We start from the raw sequence: 14,366 nt of genomic DNA on the forward strand, positions 1-14,366 counted from the left end.
TCTTTTTCCTTGTTGCTTTCCTTTTCTTTCCCTTTCCTTTCCTCTCTCTCTTTTATTCTTTCTTTCTTTCCTTTCTCTCTTTCTCTCCTCCCCATCTACCCTTCCTCCCTCCTTTCCTCTTTCCTTTTCTTTCATTTGCTTTCTTTGACAGCATCTTGCTGTCCCCCAGGCTGCAGTGCAGTAGTGCAATCACAGCTCAGTGCAGCCTCAAACTCCTGGCTTCAAGTGATCCTCCTGCCTCAGCCTGCTGAGTAGCTGGGACTATAGACATGCACCACCATGCCCGGCTAATATTATAAAAAGGTTTTTTTAGAGATGCGGTCTCACTATGTTGCCCGGGCTGGTTTTGAACTCCGAGCTTCAAGTGATCCTCCTGCCTCAGCCTGCTGAGTAGCTGGGACTATAGGCGTGCACCACCATGCCCGGCTAATATTGTAAAAAGGTTTTTGTAGAGATGCGGTCTCACTATGTTGCCCGGGCTGGTTTTGAACTACTGGCCTCCAGCGATCCTCCTTCCTCTGTCTCCCAAAGTGCTGGGATTACAGGCACGAGCCACCACACCTAACCTCTTGTCTTACTTTCTCACCCTACATTTGATTAGCAAATCCCTTTGGCTGTACCTAGAAGACACACTCAAATCTGGCCACTTTAACCCTGCTGCCCTGGTGGAAGCCACATGTGTACAGTGCTTATGTAAGAAACATTTACTCACTTAAACCCCACACAACACTATGAGGTGGGTCTCATGGCATCCCCATTTTACAGCTGAGGAAACTGAGACCCAGAGCGGTCACGTGGCTTGCCCTGCTCATAGCTGGTTTTCTTGCTGCCCCTTCAGAGTCTGCTCATGCAGGCCAGATCACATCAGTCCCCTGCTCACACCCCAGTGGGCTCCCATCTCACGCAGAACAGGAGTGAGAGCCCTCATCTCGCACGCATGAGATCCACCATGATCTGGCCTTGTTCCTTCCCTGCACTCATTCTCTCCCACCTTCAGGCACACCTTAGCTCCTCCTTGCCCTTGAACACCTGTGCGTGCCCCTGCTCCAGGGCCCTCGCACCTGCTGCTCTTTCACATCCATCAGGGCTCTTCTCAAAAAGGACCATATCACAAAGCCTTCCTTGGCTGGGTGTGGTGGCTCATGCCTGCAATTCCAGCACTTTGGGAGGCTGAGGTGGGAGGATGGCTTGAAGTCAGGAGTTTGAGACCAGTCTGGGCAACATGGAGAAACCCCGTCTCTACCAAAAATACAAAAACTTAGCCAGATGTGGTGGTGTGTGCCTGTAGTCCCAGCTACTTGGGAGGCTGAGGTGGGAGAATCGCTTGAACCTGGGAGGCAGAGGTTGCAGTGGGCCGAGATCGTGCCACTGCATTCCAGCCTGGGTGACAGAGTGAGACTCCGTCTCAAGAAAAAAAAAAAAAACCTTTCTTGGTCAACCATCATAGGACAACCCCATTCCCAGTCTTCTCTTACCATCTCTGCTTACCCTGCTTTATTTTTCTCTATAACCTCATCACCACCCCATCCATTACATATTTCTTGTCTTGTTAGTTATCTGTCTTCAACCACTACATGTAAACTCCATGAATGTGGGGGCAGTTTGTTTACTCGTTGCTTTATCTCTAGTGCCCAGCACATTTGGTAAATATTTGTTGAGTGAACATCTTATGGACACAAGTGAGCTTATTACATATGCATTTAAGGGAGGCTTGGGCTGGGCGCGGTGACTCACGCCTGTCATCCCAGCACTCTGGGAGGCTAAGGCAGGCAGATTGCTTGAGGCCAGGAGTTTGAGACCAGCCTGGGCAACATAGCAATGATAATGAAATGATAATGATAATGAAAACATTATCCAAGTGTGGTGGTGCATGCCTGTGGTCCCAGCTACTCAAGAGTCAGAAGCGGGAATTTCAGTTGAGCCCAGGAGTTTGAGGCTATGGTAAGCCATGATTGCACCACTGTACTCCAGCATGCGAAACAAAGTGAGACCCTGTCTCTAAATATAAAATATAAAATGAAATAAAATAATATTTTAATAAAAGGCTTGTTGTAACCAAGTGAATTGTAGAGAAACGCCACACTTTGAGACTAATTCAGGAGTCATTTATTAGCCGGTGACCGAGAGACGGATAATGCTCGAAATTGTCTCGGGCCTGAAGAAGGGGCTAGATTTTCTTTTATACTGTGGCCTAAATAGGGGAGGGAGGTTTAACTGAAGCAATTTTACAGAAGTAGAATAGGCAAAAAGTTAAAAAAGTAATTGGTTATAGAAGCAGTTACAAAAAATAAACAGTTCCAGGTGCAGGTGCTTAAACTATCACTAAGAGATAAATGCAGGGGCTTTAGGTACCTGCCACTGAGCACATCCCCAGGAGCTGCTGGTACAGCCTGCCTCAGTATCTTATCAGCAGTTTGCATTCCTGGGTGTGCTTGGAGTCAGCTTACACTAGTTATTCCCTTAAGGGGGATAAAGGGGGCTGCAAGTGAAGAAACTAAAATGTAGTCTGTCTGTCTCTCTCTGCTAGGAGAGAGTCACTCAGGTTAAAACAAGGTAGGGTATCACGGGCTCTAGCTATCCAGGCAGATCCTTTAGAAAAGAGAACGTCCAACCTCTTGGGCTGCCCTTTGGGCCCTTATGCTCTGTTTGGTGGATCTCCAAGTCACGTGGGTGCTGGCTTCCGTCTGCAGGGAAGTCCCACCTGTGCAGAGCCATGGCTCATCACGAGGAGTCAGTGCAGGAGGCCAGCCTCTGCAAGAAGCTGCAGAGCATTGAGGTGCTACAGAAGGTGCTGTGTGCAGCACAGGAACGCTCCCGGCTCATGTACGCCCAGCACCAGGAGGATGATGACCTGCTGAACCTGATCGACGCCCCCAGTGTTGTTGGTGAGTAACCTAGACTGTGTTCCCTCTGTGGGGGTGCCTGTGCCGCGGAAAGAGTACGCCTGGCCTGTGGGGGTTGAGCAAGCCCTTGCTGTGTGCTTGGCACAGGGAGGGCTGCACAGGGCAGGGACCGAGGTGCTTATTTTGCCCTGGAGTTCTCTTTTCTTTTTGAGATGGAGTCTCGTTCTGTTGCCCAGGCTGGAGTGCAGTGGCATGATCTCGGCTCACTGCAACCTCTGCTTCCCGGGTTCAAGTGATTCTTCTGCCTCATCCTCCCGAGGAGCTGGGATTACAAGCGCCCACCACCACACCCAGCTAATTTTTGGATTTTTAGTAGAGATGGGGTTTCACCATGTTGGCCAGGCTGGTCTCGAACTCCTGACCTCAAGTGATCCACCTGCCTTGGCCTCCCAAAGTGCTGGGATTACCAGAGTAAGCCACCACACCTGACCTAGATACACTTTTTATGCTGTTTGTAGAATCAGCCTGCCCTGGGATCCTTTGTTAGAAATTGACCAGCCTTATGTTAAGGGTAGTCCGAGCCTGCTGTGAAGATGCTGGTGGGGGTATGTAGCTGTCAATGGTTATGACTTGCCAAACCTCCTTTTCACTGGGAAATCCTCATACCACATTAATAATGAAAAGGTCAAGCACGGTGGCCCAAAACTCTAATCTCAGCACTTTGGGAGGCCGAGGCAGGAGGATTACTTGAGCTCAGGAGTTTGAGACCAGCCTGGGCAACATAGTGAGACCCCATCTCTACAAAAAATTTAAAAAAAATTCATCAGGTATGGTGGTGCATACCTATAGTTCCAGCTACTCGGGAGGCTGAGGCAGGAGAATCATTTGAGTCCAGGAGGTCAAGCTGCAAGAGAGCTGTGATCGCACCACTGCACTCCAGCTTGGGCGACAGAGCGACACCCTGTCTCAAAATAAAAATAATGTTGAAAACAGAAAGCTCAGTATCCCAGGACTGTGTCCAGTGAGGCATGGAACTTCCATAACAATAACGCTTGAAACATAGATGACTTCTCAATAGGTTTTTTGTTTGTTTGTTTGTTTGTATGTTTGTTTGTTTTTGAGAGGTCGTTTCACTCTTGTCACCCAGGCTGGAGTGCAGTGGTGTGATCTCAGCTCACTGCAAACTCTGCCTCCCTGGTTCAAGCCTCAGCCTCCCAAGTAGCTGGGACTACAGGCGCATGCCACTACGTCTGGCTAATTTTTTGTATTTTTAGTAGAGATGGGGTTTCATCATGTTGGCCAGGCTGGTCTTGAACTCTTGACCTCAGATGATCCTCCCACCGCGGCCTCCCAAAGTGCTGGGATTACAAGCATTAGCCACCGTGCCCAGCCTCCTCATTAGGGTTTTATGAGTGCCAGAGAAGCCCACTAAGCCCCTTAAATATCAGGAAACCCCATGGGAATGTGTCTGGTTATCACTCCTTGGTCCCAGCTCAGGAATGAGTTATACCTCCTATGGCTCACATGAGGTACCCAAATGGAAGGTAGAGTTCAACCTAGGTCGGGGTTTGAGCTGTGTTCCATCTTCTTGTACTACTTGTCTAAACCGAGGGGAAGGATGTGTGACTAAGAGAAAGTTCTGTACTGTCTCATTCCCAAGGATCACTTTCTTTTTTTTTCCCCCCCCTGGAGTCTTACTCTGTCACCGGGCTGGAGTGCAGTGGCAAGACTTCAACTCACTGCAACCTCTGCCTCCTGGGTTCAAGTGATTCTCCTGCCTCAGCCTCCCAAGTAACTCAGATTACAGTCGCCTACCACCATACCTGGCTAATTTTTGTATTTTTAATAGAGACGGGGTTTCACCATGCTGGCCAGACTGGTCTTGAACTTCTGGCCTCATTGATCCACCTGCCTTGGCCTCCCAAAGTGCTGGGATTACAGGCGAGAGCCACAACACCGGGCTATAAGGATCACTTTCAATTACAGAAACATTTATCCTCCCATTTCTAATCCTCTATTCTAGCTAAAACTGAGCAAGAGGCTGACATTATATTACCCCAGTTCTCCAAGCTGACAGTCACGGACTTCTTCTAGAAGCTGGTATGTTGAAAGCTCTCTACATAAATGACCGAAGGGGACAGCTCTTCACTTTGGCGAGTATGGTGTCTTAGTCCATGTGGGCTGCTATAACAAAATGCCTCAAACTGGGTGGCTTATGAACAGCAGAAATATATTTCTCAGTTTTGGAGGCTGGGAAGTCCAAGACCAAGGTATGGGCAGATTTGGTATCTGCTGAAGGCCCATGTTCTGGTTTATAGGTAGGGCCTTCTACCTGTGTCCTCATGGCAGAAAAGGTGATGAGCTCCCTTGGGCCTGTTTTAAAAGCATGTATCCCATTCTTGAGGGCTCAACCCCAAGACTGAATCACCTCTCAAGGGGCCCCACTTCCTAATAATTACATTGATGATTTTAATATACATTTTAAATTTTAATAAATATTAATAAAATTTTAATATTTTAATATACAAACTTTGGGAGGGTACAAACATTCAGACCATAGCATATTTTATTTTATGCACTTATTTTTATTTATTTGTTTTTTGAGACAGAGTCTCACTCTGTTGCCCAGGCTGGAGTGCAGTGGTGCGATCTCAGCTCAGTGCAGCCTCCACCTCCCAGGTTCAAGTGATTCTCCAGCTTCAGCCTCCCGAGTAGTCGAGATTACAGGCCTTTGCCACTACGCTCAGCTAATTTTGTATTTTTAGTAGAGACAGGGTTTCACCATGTTGGCCAGGCTGATCTTGAACTCCTGGGCTCCAGTGATCCCCTCACCTCGGCCTCCCAAAGTGCTGGGATTATAGGCCTGAGCCACTGTGCCCGGCCCCACAGCATATTTTAAAAGTAGTTTTTAGGTATTGTCTATTTAAAATTTTTTAAAATATTTTTTAACTTTTTTTAGAGATGTGGTCTCACTGTGTCACCTAGGCTGGATTACAGTGGCATGATCATAGCTCACTGCAGCCTGAACCTTCTGGGCTCAAGTGATCCTCCTGCGTTAGCTACCCTAGTAGATGGGACTACAGGCACACACCACCACGTCCAACTAATTTTTATTTCTTGTAGAGATGGGGTCTTGCTATGTTGCCTAGGCTGGTCTCAAACCCTGGGTTCCAACCATCCTCCTGCCTAGGCATCCCAGAGTGCTGGGATTACAGGTATGAGCCACTATGCCTGACCTGAGATTTTTTTTCCTTTTTTTTTTTTTAAGACAGGGTCTAACTCTGTTTTCACCCAGGCTGGAGTGCAGTGGCACAATCAGTTCACTGCAGCCTCGAACTGCTGGGCTCAAGAAGTCCTCCTGCCTCAGCAGCCTAAGTAGATGGAACCATAGGCGTGCACCACCATGCCTGGCTAATTCTTTTATGTTTTTGGTAGAGAATGGTTCCCGCTATGTTGCCCAGGCTGGTCTCAAACCCCTGGCCTCAAGCAATCCTTCTGCCTTGGTCACACAAAGTGCTTAGGATTACAGGCAAGACATGTCTGGTCTTAAGTTGTTTATATTAGAGATTTTATTTAAGATAATTTTGGCTGGGTGTGGTGGCTCACGCCTTTAATCCCAGCACTTTGGGAGGCTGAGGCAGGCGGATCACCTGAGGTCAGGAGTTTGAGACCAGCCTGGCCAACATGATGAAACCCCATCTCTGCTAAAAATACAAAAATTAGCCAGGCGTGGTGGTTCGCACCTGTAATTCCAGCTACTCAGGAGAATTGCTTGAACCCGGGAGGCAGAGGCTGCAGTGAGCCGAGATTACACCACCACACTCTAGCCTGGGCGATAGAGTGAGACAATGTCTCAAAAAAAAAAAAAAGAAAAAGATAATTAATACAATGTCTAAAAGATAATTTTATTGTAAATATATTGGGTATGTTTGAGAAGATGGCTTTCCAGGTTCTCGCATGACTGCTGTAGCATGTATGCCCCCAGATGTGTCATTTGTCCCTGAACAAGGCCAAGTGAGATCTTCAAGGACAGCAGGCAAAATTCCCTTTAGCTTTCAAGTGTCTGATCCAGCCTTCAAATCCTACACCTAATGATGCTCTCTTCCAAAGGGCCCCTTATCTGTGTTTTTGGCTAACAAGCAGTAGACGCCTCCTCGAAGCATCCCCTTCACTGCAGAAGAAGGGGACTTGGGGTTCACCTTAAGAGGGAATGCCCCCATTGAGGTTCACTTCCTGGATCCTTACTGCTCTTCCTCGGTAAGCACATGCTTTTCTTGGTTGGCAGCAAACACAGATATCTGGGTGATTGAATTTAGGGCGGGTTCACCCATGTCAAAGGCCTGACTTGATGTGAAAGGCCTCATGGGTGCTACAGTCCCTAAAAGAAAAGGATTAATTTTTACTGTCTTTTTTTTGTTTTTAGTTTTTTTTAGACGTTGGGAGGTGGACGTTGCAGTGAGTCCTGATTGTGCAGTGGCACGATCTCAGGGCTCAGTGCAGCTTCTGCTTCCTGGGTTCTAGTGATTCTCCTGTCTCAGCTTCCTGAGTAGCTGGGATTACAGGCACGTGCCACCACACTCAGCTAATTTTAGTTTTTGTTTTTGTTTTTTGAGACACATTTTTGCTCTGTCGCCCAGGCTGGAGTGCAGTGGCGCAATCTTGGTTCACTGCAACCTCCACCTCCTGGGTTCAAGTAATTCTTCTGCCTCCGCCTGCTGAGTAGCTGGGATTACAGGTGTGTGTCACCATGCCCAGCTAATTTTTTGTGTGTTTTTAGTAGAGACGGGGTTTCACCGTGTTAGCCAGGATGGTCTTGATCTCCTGATCTTGTGATCTGCCCACCTCGGCCTCCCAAAGTGCTGGGATTACAAGTGTGAGCTACCTGGCCCGGCCTAATTTTTGTATTTTTAGTAGAAACGGGGTTTTGCCATGTTGGCCAGGCTGGTCTCGAACTCCTGGCCTCAAATATTCTGTCTGCCTTGGCCTCCCAGAGTGCTAGGATTATAGGCGTGAGCCACTGTGCCTGGCCAATTTTGACTTTTTTTTTTTTTAATTGCACCCAGGCTGGAGGGCAGTGGCACGATCTCGGCTTACTGCAATGTCTGCCTCCCGGGTTCAAGCAATTCTCCTGCCTCAGCCTCCCAGGTAGCTAGGACTACAGGTGCCCACCACCACACCTGGCTGATTATTGTATTTTTAGTAGAGATGGGCTTCACCGTGTTGTTCAGGCTGGTCTTGAACTACTGACCTCAAGTGATCTACCCGTCTCAGCCACCCAACGTGAATTTTTGCTTTCTTGATGTGAACTTACGCAAATACCTATTTTGTTAATGGGGACTGATTCAAGGATTTGAGTGAACAAAACGTTGACTTATTTTCAACAATACTTTTTCAGGTGGCAGGAGCCCGGGAAGGAGATTATATTGTCTCCATTCAGCTTGTGGATTGTAAGTGGCTGATGGTGAGTGAGGTTATGAAGCTGCTGAAGAGCTTTGGCGAGGACAAGATCGAGATGAAAGCCGTGAGCCTCCTGGACTCCACATCATCCGTGGTGAGCACTGACACCTCCCTGGGCAGTCAGTAGTGGCGTGGAGTGAAATCTACATGAGTTCAGCCCCAGGGTTGTTTACCAGACCCTCTGTCTCCTGCCTGTGTAACATGGTACAAATGACTGGACTCCCAGGCTTGTAATCACTGTAATGTGCTCACCTTGGGTCAAAGAGAAAATTGGCAAACTGTTTCTTTTTAAAGACAGGGTCTTGCCCTATTGCCCAGGCTGGTTTGCAGTGGTATGATCATGGCTTACTGCAGCCTCTATCTCCTCGGTTTAAGTGATCCTCCCACTTCAGCCACACAAGCAGCTGGAATTATAGGCACCCACTACCACCCCTGGCTCATTCTTTATTTATTTATTTATTCATTTTTTATTTTATTTTTTTTTTGAGACGGAGTCTCGCACTGTCGCCCAGGCTGGAGTGCAGTTGTGCAATCTTGGCTCACTGCAAGCTCTGCCTCCCAGGTTCACGCCATTCTTCTGCCTCAGCCTCCCAAGTAGCTAGGACTACAGGTGCCTGCCAACGCGCCTGGCTAATTTTTTGTATTTTTAGTAGAGATGGGGTCTCACCGTGTTAGCCAGGATGGTCTCGATCTCCTGACCTCGTGATCCACCCACCTCGGCCTCCCAGAGTGCTGGGATTACAGGTGTGAGCCACCATGCCCAGCCCATTCTTTATTTTTTGTAGAGACAGGTTCTCGCTGTGTTGCCAAGACTGGTCTTGAACTCCTGGGCTCAAGCCATCCTCTGACCTTGGCCTCCCAAAGTGCTGGGATTACAGGTGTGAGCCACTGCACCCTGCTAGCAAACTTTTAAAAATATCCTGTGGATAAAATAATCAACTGATCTATTTTTCTGATCAAATTGTTTAATTACAAAAGTAATACATACTCAGTGAAAAAAACAAAAAACAAAAAAAATTCTAATGGTACAGAAGAGCTTAAGACGACCTGTGAAAGTTAAGACAATCCCTCTGTATGCCCTAGAGGCAGTGTCAGCCATGTTCTGGGAGATTTGGGAAGCATTTGAGTCTCTCAAGTTCACCTGCACAGTTACCACCTTTAATTTTCCCCATGTGAGGCCGGGCACGGTGCTCATGTTTGTAATCTGAGTACTTTTGGAGGCTGAGGTGTGTGGATTGCTTGAAGTCAGGAGTTCAAGACAAGCCTGACCAACAAGGCAAACCCTGTCTCTACTGAAAATATAAAAATTAGCTGGGCATGGTGGTGCACGCCTGTAACCCCAGCTACTCAGGAGGCTGAGGCAGGAGAATAGTTTGGGAGGTGGAAGTTGCAGTGAGTGGAGATTGCGCCATTGCACTCCAGCCTGGGCCAACAGAGTGAGACTGTCTGCAAAAAAACCCTAAAATTTTCCCCAAGTGCTAGGGTTCATGCCACACTTAATGACGTTCTCCTCTGCACTTTGCCACACTTAATGACGTACCCTCGACCTTCCCTCTGTAACAACACTCATTTATTCATTCAACAAATATTGATTGAGGATCAATTGGGTGCCAGACACTCTCTTAGGTGTCAGAGCTCCAGTTTACATTACACAGGTAAGGTCCCTGCCCCTCCCCACGAAGCTGGCACTAAGTCAGTAAATAAATGGTCAGGATTTTGATAAGTGTTGTAAAGGAAAAAAGACCTGTAATGGGGTGGAATGACTGGAGAGGAGGCGAGGCTCTATCTAGGCAGGGCTGGAACAGACATGAGAGTGACCAGGAGGTTCGAGCCAGTTGCAGAGAGACAAGAAAGGCCTTCTGGGCAGGGGCACCTACAGGTACAGGGCCCCTGCAGCAGAATAAGCTTCTCCTACCAGAGAGGCAAAAGGAAGGCCTTTTGGCCAGAGCACCAGGACAAGGAAGGGAGCCGTGGGAAGTGAGGTAGGAAGGAGGCCTTGGCGGCAGTGGTGGGAGCTTGGAAGCCACTGAGCATTTTCAGAAGGGGAACGGCGTGGTGTGATGTTTGTTTTAGAAGGGCGTCTGCTGCCGGAGACTGGCCATGGCAGTTGTCCAGGCTGGTGAAGTTAGTGGCTGAGGTGATGGGGGTGGCTGTAGAGTTGGAGAGACATGAGTGTCCCTGGGACATAGTTTGGAGGTAGAGCTGATGGGGGATTTGTGGATGATTTGTGTAAAGGAGACAGTGAACAGGGAGGTGAGGCCTCAGTTTTTGGCTTGATCAATCTCATGGGTAGTGGTTATTTTTCTACCTTTAATTTCATTTTTCTCTTGTTGTTTTTTTGTTTGTTTTTTGTTTTGTTTTGTTTTGTTTTTGAGACAGGGTCTTACTCTGTTGCTTGCCTGGAATGCAGTGGTGCAATCATAGCTCACTATAGCCTTGACTTCCTGGGCTGAGGCAATCCTTTTGCCTCAGCCTCCCGAGTAGCTGGAACTACAGGTGTGTACCACTATGCCTGGCTAATTTGTTTATTTACCTATTGTAATTTTTTTTTGGTAGAGATGGGGCCTTGATATATTGCCAAGGTTGGCCTCAAACTCCTGGCCTTAAGCGATCCTTCCACCTCCGCCTCCCAAAGTGTTGGGATTACAGGCATTAGCCACCATGCCCAGCCTGGTTATTTTTCATAATGATGGGTAATGGGTGTGAGGGAGGTGAAGGAGAGAGAAATCAAGAGTCATGTTTTGAATGTTTCAGATGCTATTAGCAGTCAGACATAAGCATAAAGGAGGAGACTGGATGTGAAGTCTTCAGTTCGAGGAAGAAATCAGAGCTAGAAATAAATATTTGAGAATCATTGCACATGGATGATATTTGAGGCTGTGAGACAAAATGCAGCTCCCTGCAAGGGGGCTAGGGCTGAGGGCTAAACATTTAGAGGTCAGTTGGAAGAGAAGCAAGTGCAAAGAAAATGCAGGAGAGTTCAGAGATGTCGGAGGAAAGGAGCTTCTCAAATTAAGAGGAGAAAGCTCTGCAGGAGAGAGTGATGGGTTGCATTGAATGCAGTTGAGAGGTGGAGAATGAGGTTGGCTTAGCTGTGCCTATTGTATTTGGCAGCAGGATGAAAAGACACTTTGGTGGAGAGGTGGCAACAGAAGTCAGTTGAGAGAGGGCCAGAGAGCCAATGGATTTTGAGTCCGTGGATATGAAATGCTCAGCATAGGCAAATCCAGAGACAGAAAGTAGATGCTGCTGGGGCTGGGCAATGGGAGTGGGGAGGGACTGCTGAAGGGTCATAAGGTAGAAGGTTTCTTTTTGGGGGGATGGAAATATTCTGAAATTAGGTAGTATGATGGTCACCTAACTTTGTGAATATACTAAAAAATCACTGATGTTTTGGCATACTGGCTCACACCTGTAATTCCAGCACTTTGAGAGGCTGAGGCAGTATGTTCGCTTGAGCCCAGGAGTTTGAGACCAGCCTGGGCAACATGGCGAGACCGTGTCTCTACAAAAAATAAAAAAAATTAGCATGGCATGGTGGCACACACCTGTAGTCCCAGCTGCTTGGGGGGCTGAGGCCGGAGGATCACTTGAGCCCAGGGAGGTTGGGGCTGCAGGGAGCTATGATTGTACCACTGCACTCCAGCCTGGGTGTCAGAGCAAGACCCTGTCTCAAAAATAATAAATAAAAGCCACAGAAGGGTATTAAAATGGTGAATTTTATGCATGTATGTGAATTATATCTCAAAAAAATTTTTTTTTTTTGAGACGGAGTCTTGCACTATCGCCCAGGCTGGAGTGCAGTGGCGTGATCTTGGCTCACTGCAACCTCTGCCTCCAGGATTCAAGTGAATCTCCTGCCTCAGCTTCCCGAGTGGCTGGGATTATAGGCGGGCACCGCTATGCCTGGCTAATTTTTGTATTTTTAGTGGAGACAGGGTTTCGCCATATTGGTCAGGCTGGTCTCAAACTCCTGACCTCGTGATCCATCCACCTCGGCCTCCCGAAGTACTGGGATTATAGGCGTGAGCCACTGCACCTGATATACTTCAAATTTTAAAAGAAGATAAAGTCAAGGGACGCAGAGCATCTTGGGAGAAGGGATCATAAGAAATTATATTTTTAGGGACAAAACGCATGGAGTTTATGGACAAGTGATTAAGGTCCGCAGCAGAAACAGAAAAGAAGTTTGTCCAAAAGGAGGTTAGAGAAAAGAGCCGAGCCACATACTGAAGGTTGGAGTAGGGACCCCGTCAGCAGAGGCCTGAGTTTATGGGGCATGCCCTGCCCCCTGTGAGAGGTGCAAAGGCTTGACTTTCAAGCCTGTGACATCTTTACACCAGGCCAAGGAAGGGGCTGCTGTAGTAGCTAAAAGCAAGGGTTCTGCACTGAGACAGTCTAGATGTGTATCCTGGCTTTCCACCACCGTTGTGTGGCCTTCAGCAAGTCAGTGAATAGCTGTGAGCCTCAGGATAAACTGAGTTTACATAAAGCCCTTCCAAGAGGGCCAAACATGAGCTGCATTTCAATTCACAATAAGCATTATAATGATGATAACCATGATCATGATGTTTATTCTTTTCACCCAGCAGGATGTCTTTAATTTTTTTAAAAATAATGTTTTTAGGCCGGGCGCAGTGGCTCACGCCTGTAATCCCAGGACTTTGGGAGGCTGAGACGGGTGGATCACGAGGTCAGGAGATCGAAACCATCCTGGCTAACACGGTGAAACCCCATCTCTACTAAAAATTAGCTGGGCGTGGTGGCAGGTGCCTGTAGTCCCAGCTCCTTGGGAGGCTGAGGCAGGAGAATGGCGTGAAACCAGGAGGCGGAGCTTGCAGTGAGCTGAGATCGTGCCACTGCACTCCAGCCTGAGGGACAGAGCGAGACTCCGTCTCAAAAAAAAAAAAATGTTTTTAGGCTGGGCACAGTGGTTCACTCCTATAATCCTAGCACTTTGGGAGGCCGAGGCAGGCAGATCACTTGAAGCCAGGAGTTCGAGGCCATCCTGGCCAACATGGCAAAACCCTGTCTCTACTAAAAATACAATAATTAGCGGGATGTGGTGGTGCATACCTGCAATCCCAGCTACGTGGGAGGCTGAGGCATAAGAATCGCTTGAGCCTGGGAGGCAGAGGTTGCAGTGAGCCGAGATCATGCCACTGTACTCCAGCTGGGGCGACAGAGTAAGACCCTGTGTAGAAAAAAAAAAGTTTGCTTTTTGTTTTGAGACAGGGTCTCGCTCTCATTGCCCTGGCACGATCTTGGCTCACTGTGGCCTTTACTCTTGGGCTTAAGTGATCCCCCCACCTCCACTTCCTGAGTAGCTAGGACTACAGTCATGCAACACCATACTCAGCTAATTTTTCATATTTTTTTGTAGAGATGGGGCTTCACCGTGTTGCCCTAGCTGTTCTCTAACTTCTAAGCTCAAGAAATCCACCTACCTTGCCTCCCAAAGTGCTGGGATTACAGGCATGAGCCAGCATGCCCGGCCAAATAATTTCTTTTGTTGTTGTTTTTTGTTTTGTTTTGTTTGTTTTGAGACAGGGTCTCACTCAGTTGCCCAGGCTGGAGGGCAATAGTGCAATCATAGTTCACTACAGCCTCGAGTTCTAGGGCTCAAAAGATCCTCCCTTCTCATCATCTGAGGTCAGGAATTCTAGACCAGCCTGGTCAACATGGTGAAACCCTGGGTGTGGAGGTGGTGGGTGCCTGTAATCCCAGCTACTTGGGCAGCCAAGGCAGGAGAATTGTTTGAACCCAGGAGGCAGAGGTTGCAGTGAGCCGAGATCATGCCACTGCACTCCAGCCTGGGCAAGAGAGGGAGACTCCATCTCAAAAAAAAAAAAAAAAAAAAAGATCCTCCCAAGTAGCTGGGACTACAGGTGTGCACCACTATACCCAGCTAATTTTTAATTTTTTTTGCAGTGACAGTCTCATTTTGTTGCCCAGCCTGGTCCCAGACTCCTGGGCTTAAGCAATCTTCCTGCCTCCGCCTCCCAAAGTGTTAGGATTACAGGAATGAGCCAGTGCACCAGGCCAAAAGTAATTTCCTTTTGTCTT

At 47.8% G+C, this 14,366-nt stretch overlaps 1 pseudogene; it reads left to right on the forward strand.

Annotated features, from left to right (window-relative positions):
* LOC102724181 (rhophilin-2-like) overlaps positions 1–14,366 on the forward strand; it is a 55,052-nt pseudogene that overhangs the window by 31,539 nt on the left and 9,147 nt on the right.

The sequence above is a fragment of the Homo sapiens genome, chromosome 16 (genome assembly GCF_000001405.40).
Source record: "Homo sapiens chromosome 16, GRCh38.p14 Primary Assembly".
NCBI lineage: Eukaryota > Metazoa > Chordata > Mammalia > Primates > Hominidae > Homo > Homo sapiens.